We start from the raw sequence: 14,556 nt of genomic DNA, 5'->3' as shown, positions 1-14,556 counted from the left end.
GTTGGGGTGGTAGAAAGATGACTGTGCAGGTGAAGGTAAGCCCTGGTGGCAAACAGAATTCATACATGGTATAATGTCATATGCAGAAATTCAACATGCATCATTCCCTCTTGTAGAGTTACCTTAGGAAATTGTCAGATGCTCTTCAGTACCTGATGACAGTTGAACAAACAGAGACTGGAGAGATTTAAGTTACTTTTCTACATTCGTGCAAGCAGTTAAATGGCAAAGCTAAGACATGGATGCAAGCTCTGTCTGACGCCCCAAACCATGCTCTATGGTGAGGATTAATTGAGTTAAAATATATACAACACTTGCTCTGGTGTCTGGAGCACAGTTCATGCTCAACAAGTGACAATGATTACCTTCTAGAACTTCACCATTTATTAGCCCCTTTAGTTTGGGGCATTACTTTTAGTAGGTGTCTGTCTACCTGACCATCCTTTCTGAGCGTAATGAAACTAGTAATTACAAAAGCCAAGAAATTAGAAACAGAAACGGAATGGACAAAGGTAGTTACTGTAGAATATTGGGGGAGACAGCTTGCTGCAAGACTTTTCAAGGCGGCATGTTCAGTTTGGCTAAGCTGTTGTTGTGGTTGTGTTCCCTGTTCTCTTTACAGTTGATCCTTCAACAACACAGATTTGAACTACGTGGGTCCACTTACACGTGGATCCACTTATACATCGATTTTCTTCTACCTCTGCCACCCCTGAGACAGCAAGACCAACCCCTCCTCTTCCTCCTCCTCAGCCTACTCAACATGAAGACACTGAGGATAAAGGCCTTCATTTAACAAATTGTGAATATGTTTTCTCTTCCTTATGATTTTCTTAATGTTATTCTCTTTCATCTAGTTCATTTTATTGTAAGAATACAGTATAGATTACATATAACATACAAAATACATGTTATTTAACTGTTTATGTTATTGGTAAAGCTATTACCAATAACAGTTGGCTATTAGTTATATTTTGTGGGAGTCAAAAGTTACACACAAATTTTTGGCTGGACATGGTAGCTCACATCTGTAATCCCAGCACTTTAAGAGGCCCAGGGGGGGCAGTTCACTTGAGGTCAGGAGTTCAAGACCAGCTTGGCCAACATGGTGAAACCCTGTCTCTGCTAAAAATACAAAAAACTTAGCTGGTTGTGGTGGCACATACCGTAATCCCAATTACTTGGGAGACTGAGGCAGGAGAATTTCTTGAACCTGGGAGGTGGAGGTTGCAGTGAGCCAAGGTTGCACCAGCTCACTCCAGCCTCGGAAACAGAGCAAGACTCCATCTCAGAAAAAAAACAAACAGTTACACACAAAATTTTGACTGAGTTGGGGGGTGGTATTCCAACCCATGCATTGTTCAAGGGGCAGTTGTACTTCTTTTAGTTATTGTGCTAAATACAATAGGTTTTTTTTGGGGGGGGGTACTTTAGCAACTTGCTGTGAATATTTTTATATTATAAGACAATTTACACTTTTTATTTACATAAGTCATATTTAAAAGTTTTTTGCATATATATATGTATACGTATGTATTTGATATTTCCTGGAATATTCCTCAAGAAACATGTAGACTAGAGTACTCCAAGCACAAACTTCAAAAACAAACAAACAATACCCCTACATGAACAAAATACAAGATCTTCAAAGGGCTGGGAGTTCTGTTCCTTCTCTCTGTTCTGTCACTGTGTATGTATTTTGAGCCCTGGATAAGATTTTTATGATTCAGCAGATAAAATCAGACAGCAAGAATAATTGTTCTCAATCTTAAAACTGTTTAGGAAATGAAAAGAAGGTGGTTTCTTAGCTAACAAAGATCCAGGCAATGGAGAGTCTTCCAGATTGAAATCACAGTACCCAGTAAGCCTGAGAACTACAGAGAAGATGCTGAAAGATCAGGAGGCAGTCTGTTATTCCAAGACTGCCAGCAATAAAAAAGTGAAGCCAAAGAAGTCTAAAGGAGCTTGTCAGTGGAGGGTTGAATGTTTTCCCCTTAAATTCAACACTTCTACAACTCCACTGGAAGTCCACTTTAATGGATTCATTCTTTTGAGGGTTGCCAACATCATACCAGTAACAAATGTGAAGAATTCCAAAGAGACTGATACTCAGCTACTCCAGATTTCTCCTTTCTCACTGAGGTCTGAGTCCCATAGCTAACTCCCTACTTCCATGATGATGCAATGGCTAAGTCTCCAAGCTGACAACACAATAGGTCAACTTATTCAATCAATGTAGTCAATCAACTTGAAAGTTCAGTGGGAACTGACACATTGATTGAATTCACCTGTAAATTCAGTCAAAATGTTCAAACATGTATATGCCTTCTGTTGAGGCTTTGAGTCTTAATAGATGAATGTCAAGGCTGGGTTCCAATTTTAATTTGCTTCTGAATGAAGGTTGGTGCTCTTTCAACATTAAGTGATAATAATTATTGAGATTGCAGTAATTATGCTTTGCACAGCTTAAAAGTTATGAGAGTATCATTTTATTTGCTAAATAGTGTTGTTTTATTCTGCATGTTTACATTTACCAGAGCAAATACAGAGAGCTTTGAAGGTACCTGATATCTCTTGGGACACCCATGGAAAATGAGGTACTGTGTCTCATAAGACATTCTTGGCAAACTCAGAACGTAAACCAAAAAAAAAAAAAAATCCATATGGTGCACAACATCTCTCAGATAAAAAATAAGGCTTCTCAAGGAAGGAGCCTTGGGGGATTCTGAAGTCAAATTGCAAGGAACAAATGTGCTATTTTAATTTTGGCCTTAAAACTTCCTCTCCTGGAATGGTCTCAATATCACAATCTCTGCTCAACAGCACTCTCTAAGCTACAAACTCCCGTTGTTTTCTGGTTTGCTGTTCTTCAGAAAAAAAAAAAAATCATCAGAGCTCTGCATGAGATCTGCAACCCCTCCCACATCAATCTTAGGAAGCCCAAAAACATTCTATAACTTAGTTCCCAAACAGGCCACAAGCAGATGGAATTCTCCATAAGAAAGATGGTTTCTTTTCTTTCTCTCTCCCCTGACATCCTCCTTCTTTTTAACTTCAGAGGTGTTTCCCTGGGCTTCCCACTGCTCAGATATGTGTGATTCTCTCCCAGCACCCTTTCCTCCTCAGGCACCTGCTTCCCCCATGGAGGGGGATGCTGTCCAGTAGCTTGGAGTGGACCTCTGTTGTCCTCTCACACCTGGGAAATGCACGTCTCCTTCCCAATGCCTGGTGCGGCCAAGGCCGTGGGAGGAGTGCATTGAAAGTCTACATCCAGTGAAGACAATTTGTCAGTCTTCATTATCAAAAGCTGTGTGGCAGCAACACTGGAGTTAAGGGTCAGTGTGGCTTCCAATTAAAACTCCCTATTGAAGATGGATTTATGTTTGGTCCATTTCAAAACACATTGGACTGCAACTTATCATTGAAGTTGTCAGACTGAAAGCACTTTCCTTTTTTAGTGCTTCAAGGGTTTAAAAGCCATTAATTCATTTTGTTTAAGATATAAAGACATAAACGAGTGAGGGTTTTTTTTTTCGTTTTTTTTTTAAGGAGGAAAAAACAACCCACCTTGGTCCAGATGTGTTCTGGATACACTGAAACATTTCGAATGTGGGTCAAATTGACAGGGTTTTTAACTTATATATTGAGCATTTCTGTTTTTAGTGAATTTACCGTGGGAACGTTATGGTGAAAGACCAGGAGAGACTCTTTTAGATGATCCTCAAAGTCACATGTTGGGAATTTTGAACAGAGCCCAAGTTTTTCAGGGGTGAGTTACTTTACTAAAAAAAAAAATGACTTTCTGTTTTTAAGGGTAAGAAATATGTATTCTTAAACATCTTAGACATGAAATCAAATTCATGTTGAGACATTTTGATGATGTCAGCACAAATAAATCAATTACTTGAAGGAAGGAAATTCCTATTACATACCTATAGTTTAAAAAAAAAAAAAGAGAAGGGAAGCAGTGGAAAAGGACAAAATGTTGGAGGGGAGTATCCTGGCAAAACAGATTCAAGTCTGAGGATAATCTTTGTTTATAATAAATAAAAATTGAAAAGGAAAGGAGACACTATCAAGATAAGAGTATGTCTCTTGCCAAGAAAGACCCAAATGTTTCAAATAGAACATGTCTTAGCTCATTTATCTTAGCTCGTATCATCCTTTGGGACTCCTCTAATCACAGTTTGTTGCTTTTTAGAGGGAGTCCCAGCTGAAGTCTTGTTTAGTGAACAATGAAAATCTTTTAGATTTCTTATCGCATGTTGACAGTGGTAAGTTGATTCTTCACTACAAACCCATTCTTGCCTCTTTACCCCAAGTCTCAACTTGGGGAAAAATCAATTAAGCCCACTTACTCCATCTATTTAGCCAGATCCACTAACTGTGAAATGCAGAGTCCCGGCATTCACAATTCCCACTGGGCAACCTTGAGATGGAAGGAGGAGGACATGGTTAATGCAGTTATTAGAGTCATGAGCCAGCACTACTTTGCAGCCCGGGCAAACCCTGAGCAGACCAAGAGCCCCGAAGCCCAAAATGTAGCAGTAGGATGTGGGGCATGTAACCCTACTTTCTTGTCCCAACTCAGGATCCTTGACATCACTTGGACAGACTCTGGAATAATAAAGATCCCCAGTTCTTGTCCTCTAACCACGTAGGTGTTACAGGGAGTATAAAAATGATCTCTATTGTGTTAGGAGAACTTGGAGATCTTCCCAAAGCCTCAGAGAAACAACTTTAAATGTCATAATGCGAATGGAGAAGTTTCCTTTTGAAACCAGCTTTAAGACTAGAAATGCCACTGAGTTTTACAGCAGCCTCTCAAGATTAAGCACATTTAGTAATAATAAAATGATAACAATAGATAGTTTATTGAATCGAATTTACCACTTGTGCAATGCACAGAATGCGAGCCACTTGACAGAGTTGATCTTGCCTAAGCCTCACTGCGGATTCTATTTTATAATTATTTTTATTTTTATTTTTTTTTGAGACAGAGTTTCACTCTGTCACTCAGGCCGAAGTGCAATGGCTTCATCTCAGCTCACTGCAACCTCCACCTCCCAGGTTCAATCAATTCTCGTGCCTCAGCCTCCCAAGTAGCTGGGACTACAGGCGTATGCCACCACACCCGGCTAATTTTTGTATTTTTAGTAGAGATGAGGTTTCACCATGTTGGCCAGGCTGGTCTCAAACTCCTGACCTCAGGTGATCCACCCACCTCAGCCTCCCAAAGTGCTGGGATTACAGTATAATTATTTTTAAAATGAAGTAACTAAGGTTTTGAGAGGCTAACTAATTTGCCCACATACATAAAATAATAAGCTAGGCTTAAAAGCTGGAGTTTCATTCTTGAATATGCAGGCTTAATCCCTCTACCCTAAGTATAGCAGATAGAATGTCTGATAGTTCCAAATGTATCTAGCAAGTTACACTTCAGACACCCCAGTTGAAATCTCTGGTTAGACTTTCCTGTCCCCACGTGAGGTTGTCCACTCTGAATCAAATGAAAATGACTTATTTTCCATTCTTAAAGAATAAAAGAGCATTCTGTATGGGCAACTGGCATGCAAGTTTTCAGTGTGGAATGCCCATTTAGAAATGAGAAAAATCCACTGAATATCGCACTAGGGATCAATTTTGTGTCACCATTTAACCAAATACTATATGAATTCACAGCCACAAAAGAGTTGCCAGTAAGTGGTCCATGCGTGCCAGGGGTGACTGCTAAGGCCTCCTGTTACCTAGGTAATCAGGTAACTTGATTAGAGACAACACATCGCTAACGTCATGATTGGATGGTTCGAGTTTCTTTCTGTAGAATTCTGTTGAGCCTTTCTATCTTCTTTTTTTTTTTTTTTTTTTTTTTTTTGAGATGGAGTCTCGCTCTGTCGCCCAGGCTGGAGTGCAGTGGCGCGATCTCAGCTCACTGCAAGCTCCGCCTCCCAGGTTTACACCATTCTCCTGCCTCAGCCTCCTGAGTAGCTGGGACTACAGGCACCCGCCACCACTCCCGGCTAATTTTTTATGGTATTTTTAGTAGAGATGGGGTTTCACTGTGTTAGCCAGGGTGGTCTCGATCTCCTGACCTCGTGATCCGCCTGCCTCGGCCTTCCAGAGTGCTGGGATTACAGGCGTCAGCCACCACACCTGGCCGAGCCTTTCTATCTTCTAAGCCAAGTGTGTAAATATTAACAAGCAAAGGCTATGAGTGAATATTAACTAAAACTGGGTTTTAATATGCACCATCACTGACAGATCATAACAATACCATAGATTTCCACATACACTGCATTTGTGAACAGTGCTTGGAGAGTCCCAGAGCAGAAAAAGTACAAGAGGTCTTGGTCAAGTATTGCTTTTGTTTGTCTGTTGTTGTGCTCAAGTTATTTTGATTCTCTTTCACATGTGAGACACTTTACATGTTAGCCAAATCACTGAAATGAATCTCGGACTCTACCTAAAGTCAGAGAAGAAGGAACTTCTCGGGGCACAGGTTTTGGGGAATGTCACTAAATAAGCTTCACAGAACCTGGAGAAATGCCCAATTCATTGGCTATGAAAGGAAGCACCGTTTTGTCCAAGGAGTCCTTGTTTCTCCTCTGGGCAGAGGAAATGAGTTACACTCGCAGAGGTGCCGAGATGGGGTGTATTATCCAAGTTACCCTGCAAAATACAAGGGCCCAGGAGAGTGATTGTGTTTCTGCCTTATCAGCATCAAAATTGCTCATCAGTCCAGAAATCCAATGGAGAAATTGCAGGATTAGTGCTGTGACAAGGCAGGAACTTCTAGCTAACCAGGCTTCCCAGATCTCCCCTACCTCCGTCCCTCCCTCCACCCTGACCATTAGGAGCCAGGAAAGCCAGGGTAGTAATGAAGTAGCCTCAGAAGGCTGGAAATAGGCTTTTCCAGGGGGTATAGCCTTGGTACATGTTAACATCAGCCTGTGATTCAGAACCTGCCTGTGATTACTGTCATCTGAGAGAGTTCTTCAAGAGGTAAACAGACGGTTGGCCAACTGTGGCGTGATTTTTAACGTCTTCAAGGGTTGATGAGAACTGCTAGGACTTCCCATCTAAGTACAAACAGACAATTCCAATCTGTGGTCTGTGTTTCTATCACGCAAAAAAAAATGTTGTTTAGACTGATGGGGTGCAACCTCTGAATGTTGGAGGCTCAATCCAAATGGGAGGGGTTGCCCGATGTCCAGCTCCTTTAGCCAAGCTTCTCTGGTCCAGAAAGCAGGCTGGAAGATTTGCAGAATTCTGTGGGAAGAGCTATTTGAAATAGTTTTAAATCATTCCTTATTTTAATCAGGCTAAAAATACCCAAACACAATCTTTCAGTATTCTGCCTTTGGTCTCTGACTCTTCTGTCAGCACAAACACATCAACAAAAAGAAAGAATTAATGTCCATCTAAATATCTGGCCTCTTTCATATATATCATGGATTGGATTTGGGTGGGTTCCAGTTTTGGAGAAAGATCCAGATTAATGATTTAGTTACTCTGATCCAAACCAGATTTCTCTAGTTGGGATTTGATTTTCCAAGATTTATGTTTTACTAGGCAGAACCCAGAAATGTTTCTTTTTAAATTCTAAGTTGGAGGAACACAGTTCAGGAGATCACATAGCAATAAAAGAACAATAAAAGACGGTGTTATCCCATGTAACGATGTGATCTCAACCTAGCGTTGAATGTCAGGGGAGGAACGAGCATGGTGCCTGCATGTTGACTACTGTCTAGGTTTTTCAACTACATGGAACCCCTTTTTCCCATCAACCTGGGCATCCAAGCAAATCATTACATGAGTAAAATAAGCAAGATGCTAATGAATGCCAACTTATATTTTAAATCAGTAGGTAGTTATCCTGAGGGTTTTGTTTTGTTTGTGTTTTGCTTTTTATATAGGGCAACTATTCCCTAGCCTAGGTGCACACTGGAACTAGCTAGACATCTTTTTAAAAACAGTAAAGTTGAGCCAGGCGCAGTGGCTTACACCTGTAATTCCAGCACTTTGGGACTCTGGGGCAGAAGGGTTGCTTGAGCCCAGGAGTTCAAGACCAGCCTGGGTAACATGGAGAAACCCTGTATCTACAAAAAATACAAAAATTAGCCAGGTGCGGTGGTATGTGCCTGTAGTCCCAGCTACTCAGGAGGCTGAGGTGGGAGGATCACTTGAAACCGGGAGGCAGAAGTTGCAGTGAGCCGAGATTACGCCACTGCACTCCAGTCTGGGTGACAGAGCCATATCCTATCTCAAAACTAAACTAAACTAAACTAAAAAAAACTAAACTACAATAAAATAAAATAAAATAAATACTGAAGCTGGATGTAGTAGCTCATGCTTGTAATCTCAGCACTCTGGGAGGCCTAGGCAGGAGAGTTGCTTGAGGCTTGGAGTTCATGACCAGCCTGGACAACATAGTGAGACCCCATCTGTATTAAAATAAATAAATAAATCATAGAAAAATTAATACTGATACATGGGCCCCTCCCTCAATAAATTCTGCTATGATCAGCCTGGTGTGATTCACTGATGTAGTAAAATGAGAAAGGGCTTTGGAGTTAGCCCGAGCTGGGTTCAAATCCAAGATATACTCCTTATTATCATATAACCGTAGGCATAGTACTCATGCCTTTCAGTGCTCATTTCCTGGTATGTATTATAAAATGATAATGGAATAGTTCTTACCTTGCAAGATTGCCACGGAAATATGCATGCAAAGATTTTAGAACAGTGTCAGAAACATCAAGTGTTCAGTAAATATTTCTGAATGGATAAACAGAAAACCTCAAAAGCCCCAACTACTCTTTGTGTGTAGTTAATAAATCTGAAATGTCTTCAGTACCACTTTGGATCTCATCTTTACCTATTTCTGGTTCGAGCCATCCATGGGGCATCATCATTTTTTTGTTTTGTTTTGTTTTTTGAGATGGAGTCTCTCTCTGTCGCCCAGGCAGGAGTGCAGTGGCGTGATCTTGGCTCACTGCAGCCTCCGTCTCCCAGGTTCAAGCGATTCTCCTGCCTCAACCTCCTGAGTAGCTGGGATTACAGGAGCCCGCTACCATGCCCAGCTAATTTTTTTTTTTTTTTTTTGTATTTTTAGTAGAGATGGGGTTTCACTATGTTGGCCAGGCTGGTCTCGAACTCCTGACCTTATGATCCACCTGCCTCGGCCTCCCAAAGTGCTGGGATTACAGGCGTGAGCCACCATGCCCTGCCGGAGCATCATCCTTTTGTGCATCATCTCTGGTTCACTTTGCATAACTTGACCTCAGTTTCCTTCATTCCCTGCCACTGGATTGTAGAGTTTGAGGACAGATACATGGTGTGCCTTATTTATTGCTGTAGTCCAGTGCCTACAACAGTGTCAGTTAATAATACTAATAATCAACATAACTAATAATAACTAATAATTTGTTCATTATTAATAAATTACCACTAAATATTTGTTGAATAAATGGATGAAAGCATGAATTCTTCAGGACCTTAATAAATGCTATTTTCTCTATTCACTGCCAGAAATAGACAACTTACCATCTCTGTTTGCCTGAAGAATTTGTGCTCACTGTTCAAGGCCCAGTTCAAATGCTTGTGAAGCTGCTTTGAGCTCTTAGGGAGAGTTGGTCTCTGCATCCTCTGTACCATCCCCTGCTGGCTCTTGCATTCATAACAACACCCAGCATCCTGCAGGACAATGATGTCCTTCCTCCAGGGTTAACAAAGCATCGTGTCTATGGAAGTAGAAACAGAGAGCCAGTAAAATTTAGAGACTTGCTCAAAATTCTAAAACCGAAACTGAAACCCAGACTTCAATCTAGAGCTTTTGCCATTTTAACATATACTTCCTGAAGTGCTGTGTCTAAAAGGACTATCTTTCCAAACCTGTCTGGATCGTTTCCTAGATATCCTGGTTTCTCTCAAAACTTTCTTGCTGTCTGAATGCAGAGATGGTTAGAGGCCACTGGTATTTTTCTCACCGACTCTCTTTGGTATCTGGTCAAATATACAGTGCTCGGTACACTGTAAACACCCAGAAACTGTTGAAATAGATACATACATGTGTTATTGTCTATTTTTTTCTGTACTTATATGGCTAAAATTTTAGCATTCTCCATCACCACCTAAGTCTTGTTTTTGAGTTCCACCCTATCCTCCTTCCTGTCTTAGCTCCCACTTTCCGACCCTGTGTATTGAACTCATATTCTCCAGATCACATTATAAAAATGCATGTTCTAGGGTACAAGGCTAGAATGTTCTATGTTGCTCATGGCTGGACTTGCAAGTGTCCTGGCTGCACTTACTGCCCATCCCAAACAGTCTTATGCAAAAGAATCCAGGAGGCTACTTTTGGGAATAATGTCTTGCAAATCTCAGGTTTTTTATATTTTGTGTTTTCTTGACTCCCTGGACAGCCATGGCCCTATGCTCGTGCTGATGCAATGCTGTCTGAGAAGGGCTCTGTTCTTGTGATATTGGTCATTGCCAGGGAAAGCTCTAGAAAGGAAGGATCCATTTTTTTTCAGACAAAGGCATTGGAATTAACCTGTTCCTTGAAGCTCAGAAGGACTGAGTAAATTCCTCAGCAGAACTTCATGTGCTAATGTGGGTGATGTGCTTTAAGATTAGATATGTCTTATATCCAAAGCTTCCAGATGGCCTTAAAGATCTCTGAAAGTTGGAAACTTTGCAGTAATCTATTCTGGGAATTTTAAAAAATGAACAAATACAGGAAGGGGGTCTATATTAAGTAGTGGAGGTTGTAAGAAATATACTTTTTCAATAGAGCCCTTTTAGCATTCTTTTTTTTTTTTTTTTTTTTTTGAGACAGAGTTTCACTCTGGTTGCCCATGCTGGAGTACAATGGTGCAATCTCAGCTCACTACGAACTCTGCCTCCCGGGTTCAAGCGATTTTCCTGCTTTAGCCTCCCAAGTAGCTGGGATTACAGGCACCCACCACCACACCTGGCTAATTTTGTATTTTTAATAGAGACGGAGTTTTACCATGTTGGCCAGGCTGCTCTCAAACTCCTGACCTCAGGTGATCCACCTACCTCAGCCTCCCAAAATGCTGGGATTACAGGCGCTAGCCACCACACCCAGCTTAGCATTCTATTATATTCCCATCATCATCAGCCCTTATTTTCAGTCCCTGGGCTGCAAATACAATGAAAATGACTCCTTCCACAGCAGAAATCATGTCAAGGGCTTTTTCACAGAGGCTGAATTACAAGCTCTGTTCCACATGTCTCATGAGTAGAGTCCTAGATGCCCAACAGCTTGCTGACCCTCTGTCTTTCTTTGACCTGGGAACTTGTGGCATTGTGTTCTTTCCTGGTTGCTGAACCTCTGTCTTACTTCACCTTGATACCCTTGCATTCTGACTTTTGACTTCTCGCCTGTTAAGATTCTACCGCTTTCTAAAAACCCTGCTTCTGCAGATTTCAGGTTCTCACTTCCTGCCTGGTCTGTGAGGCACACCATTATCCAAGGTTCACCATTGTATCCACAACAATGAAAAGAGAACTACATCAAACTGCCTGGGAGTAGTCAGAGAGTTCAGAAGTCAGAGACTTCACTGGGAAAGAATAAATGGGGACTTTCTTTTTGAAGGAGAGAAACCTGCCTTTTTGTATTATTTTTGTATACTTTGTACTTTCCCTAGGATGATCATCTTCGTGTTGTTCTCAGCTGAGATTCAGCAAATGTTTTCTTTTCCCCACTTCCTAAATTAGCTGGGACTCCCAGAAAACGACGATCATAAAACAAGATACAGTGTTTCTAGAAAATGCAAGGGATATTTCAATCCATTACCCAGAACTGCCACTCATTTAGGAGAAGTCTTGAGGGCTTAACAGGATTATTGTACACCTAATGTAAGAATCCCAAGGAGATTAAGAAGAATAAATAAGAATTGAATGACAAAGTCTTAAAGCACAGTTAAAGCTTTTTAAACTGGAGAGCAAGAGACCTCCAACAGACAGAAGATTGTTTCCTAAGAAAAGGGGCGTGCGTCTCCTTTATGGTGTAATGAGCTCCTGGAAATTGCATCATCCCAGGCAGAAAATCCCAGAGGAGACTAAGCCTGTCCATGTACATTGTTAGGCTGAATCTTGAAAATGCCCAGCATCATTGGTAAAAATCATGGAATGAGCAAATAAACACCATGAGAAACAAGGTATGGATGTTTGCCAGGCTACATTGAATGAGCCAAGAGGAAAACTTTAAAGTAGTAACAAATTAATAAGCAAATAAGGATTGCCATGGTGACCCTGAATTATGGCATCAATTTTTTTCTTCTAAAAACAGTACCGATTGCATTAATATCTTGATTATATTTCAATCATAATGTTTGTGTCCTCCATCACGCTCATCTGATCTTAGACAAATGGTCTGTCTTCTTTTTGAAAAAAAATAGATACTGGATGGGTTTCTGAATGGAGACACAGATTCCGAGCAATATCACAAAGAAATATATAAAAACAAGCTGGTCCTTCGAAAAGGAGTTGTTAGAAGCAGGCAGTTTGGTTCTGCCTGGGCCTCGATTCTTATACTAGGACCCTGATAAATCACTTCTAAAGTGTTCAGACACTCTGTATGTTGAACTCAGATTCTCCAGGTCACATTATTAAAAGGCATGTTTTAAGATGCAAGGCTAGAATGTTCTATGTTGCCTGTGGCTGGACCTGCCACAGTGTGAAGGGTACAGTTACTGCTTACCCCAAAGAGTTTTGTGCAAACCTATCAGGGAGACTGCTTTTGGGAACAGTGTCTTGCAAATCCCAGCTTTTTGGATTTTGTGCTTTCTTGACTCTGTGGACTAAAACTTCAGCAGCCGTGGCCCTGTGCTCTTGCTAATATTAATATAACGCTCTTGGAGAAGGGGTCTGTGTCAATTGCCCTGACTGTGAACCAGTCACATGCTCTCTTTTTAATGAAAATATATGGGCCACTGTTTTCCCTGAGTCTGTGTCATTTCCTGGGAGTCTGAGTGACACAGTGGCCCTGACATATGGCAAAATATATTACCGCCTCTCCCTGCCACATCTGCTTGAGTCTGAAGTGGAATGGTGAGATTGGAAATGCAATGTGCTTCCATGGAAGATCAGATCATTCTCACACCCCTCCAAAATGCTGCAGCCACTGGGCTTCCATAAACATTTCTAGAGAACCAGTTTCTAATAGAGGGTCTTTGGCTTGCACGAAGCAGCAGCTAATTCTCATTCAAATTAAACAACAGAATGAGTCTATTGGTGGCTTTGTTAGAAGTCAGATCACTCAGGCATGGCATTCAGCTTGAGTCCAAAATGAGCTGTCTCAAACGGAGTGGCTCACTTTAGCACAGTAAACAATGACCACCTGCTATTCTCTCGAATGCATCTAGAGGCTAAGGAGCACTTTATTATTTTAACTAGCACGCAGCCTCTGGAGGCTGCCATGTAGACATCAATCACCAAATTTACAGCTTGTAATGATATCTAGGATATGAGAATGCAATGCCTTTAAGAATCCCTTCCACAAAATATGAAGTCAAATTGAACTTTAATCTTTAGAGCAAAGGAAATACATTCTTTTCCCTGGGGAGTTAAGAAATGTGAGCAAATTGTAAGTGACTTTTAAAGTATACAATAAGACTGCCAGCCCTATTCATGGGGAAAAAATAATTGGCACTTTATGTCAGTATTTTCCATGAATTATTTGAAAAACAGATAAAATGTGTCATTTATACAGAACTACTTCCCACCGTTCTTCAAAGCTCCTTTCTACTGAATAAGTAATCACCCTTCACTGGTGATTGGCACATGTGTATAACTCCAACTTGGGCAAAATATGTCAGAAAACCCTTGGGTTGGTTTATATGTAAGATATCCAGAGTCTTTGGATGTAAGAAAGAAATTGAAAAAAAAAAGATGCTAAGCTCTGTCACCCTTGGGTTACACAGACAGGTGTCTATTCCTTCCCTGGACACTGAATCCTGGGCACTAGAAGATCATTCAGGGCAGATAAAGACCCCGTGCCTGAAGGAGTTACAAACTGCATTTCTTACCAGCATTTAGAACTTTAGCTCCTTACTTCCAATAAAGGGAAACACTTCTCTGACATTTACCCTTAAATTACATGGAAAATAGTCTCAAGACAAGCTAATTTGTTGGAGAATGATGGGTGTTCCTGGTGTTTCTCATCTTTGTAAGCAAAAAGATTACCATCCTTTATAGAGGAGAAGGGGGTTGCATATAGCTTGCCAATGCAATGTGTTGTGGACTGTGTATGGAAGAGAGGTTAACTATCCGAGAGACAAATATTTTGTTCTTTCTTGGCAGGAGAATCAAAAGTGGGCGTTTGATGTTAAAGCCCTGAGTCCTTCTAAGTGTTTCCATGTCCCTCTCTGCAGCCACGTGACATTAAAATCTTCAGCAAATTAAGCAAATGAGTAAAACATGTACCGCACTGAGATGCACGCAGGCTTAATGTATTATTCCTTCTATGCATGAAAAATATCACAAAGTGACATGTAGGAGCGATGCTTGAAATTGTTTCCTGGGATC

General features: G+C 40.9%; 1 annotated feature.

Moving 5' to 3' along the window:
* Positions 11,708–12,247: an enhancer, noted in NCBI's record as "NANOG hESC enhancer chr10:33773681-33774220 (GRCh37/hg19 assembly coordinates)". NCBI's record gives its function as "activates a minimal SCP1, AML or CMV promoter by ChIP-STARR-seq in naive H9 embryonic stem cells {active_cell/tissue: H9 hESC(naive)}" and the evidence as "EXISTENCE:reporter gene assay evidence [ECO:0000049][PMID:30033119]".

The sequence above is a fragment of the Homo sapiens genome, chromosome 10 (assembly GCF_000001405.40).
Source record: "Homo sapiens chromosome 10, GRCh38.p14 Primary Assembly".
Taxonomy (NCBI): domain Eukaryota; kingdom Metazoa; phylum Chordata; class Mammalia; order Primates; family Hominidae; genus Homo; species Homo sapiens.
The sequence above is the reverse complement of the archived record's forward strand: the minus strand, read 5'-3'. Positions and strand labels throughout refer to the sequence as shown.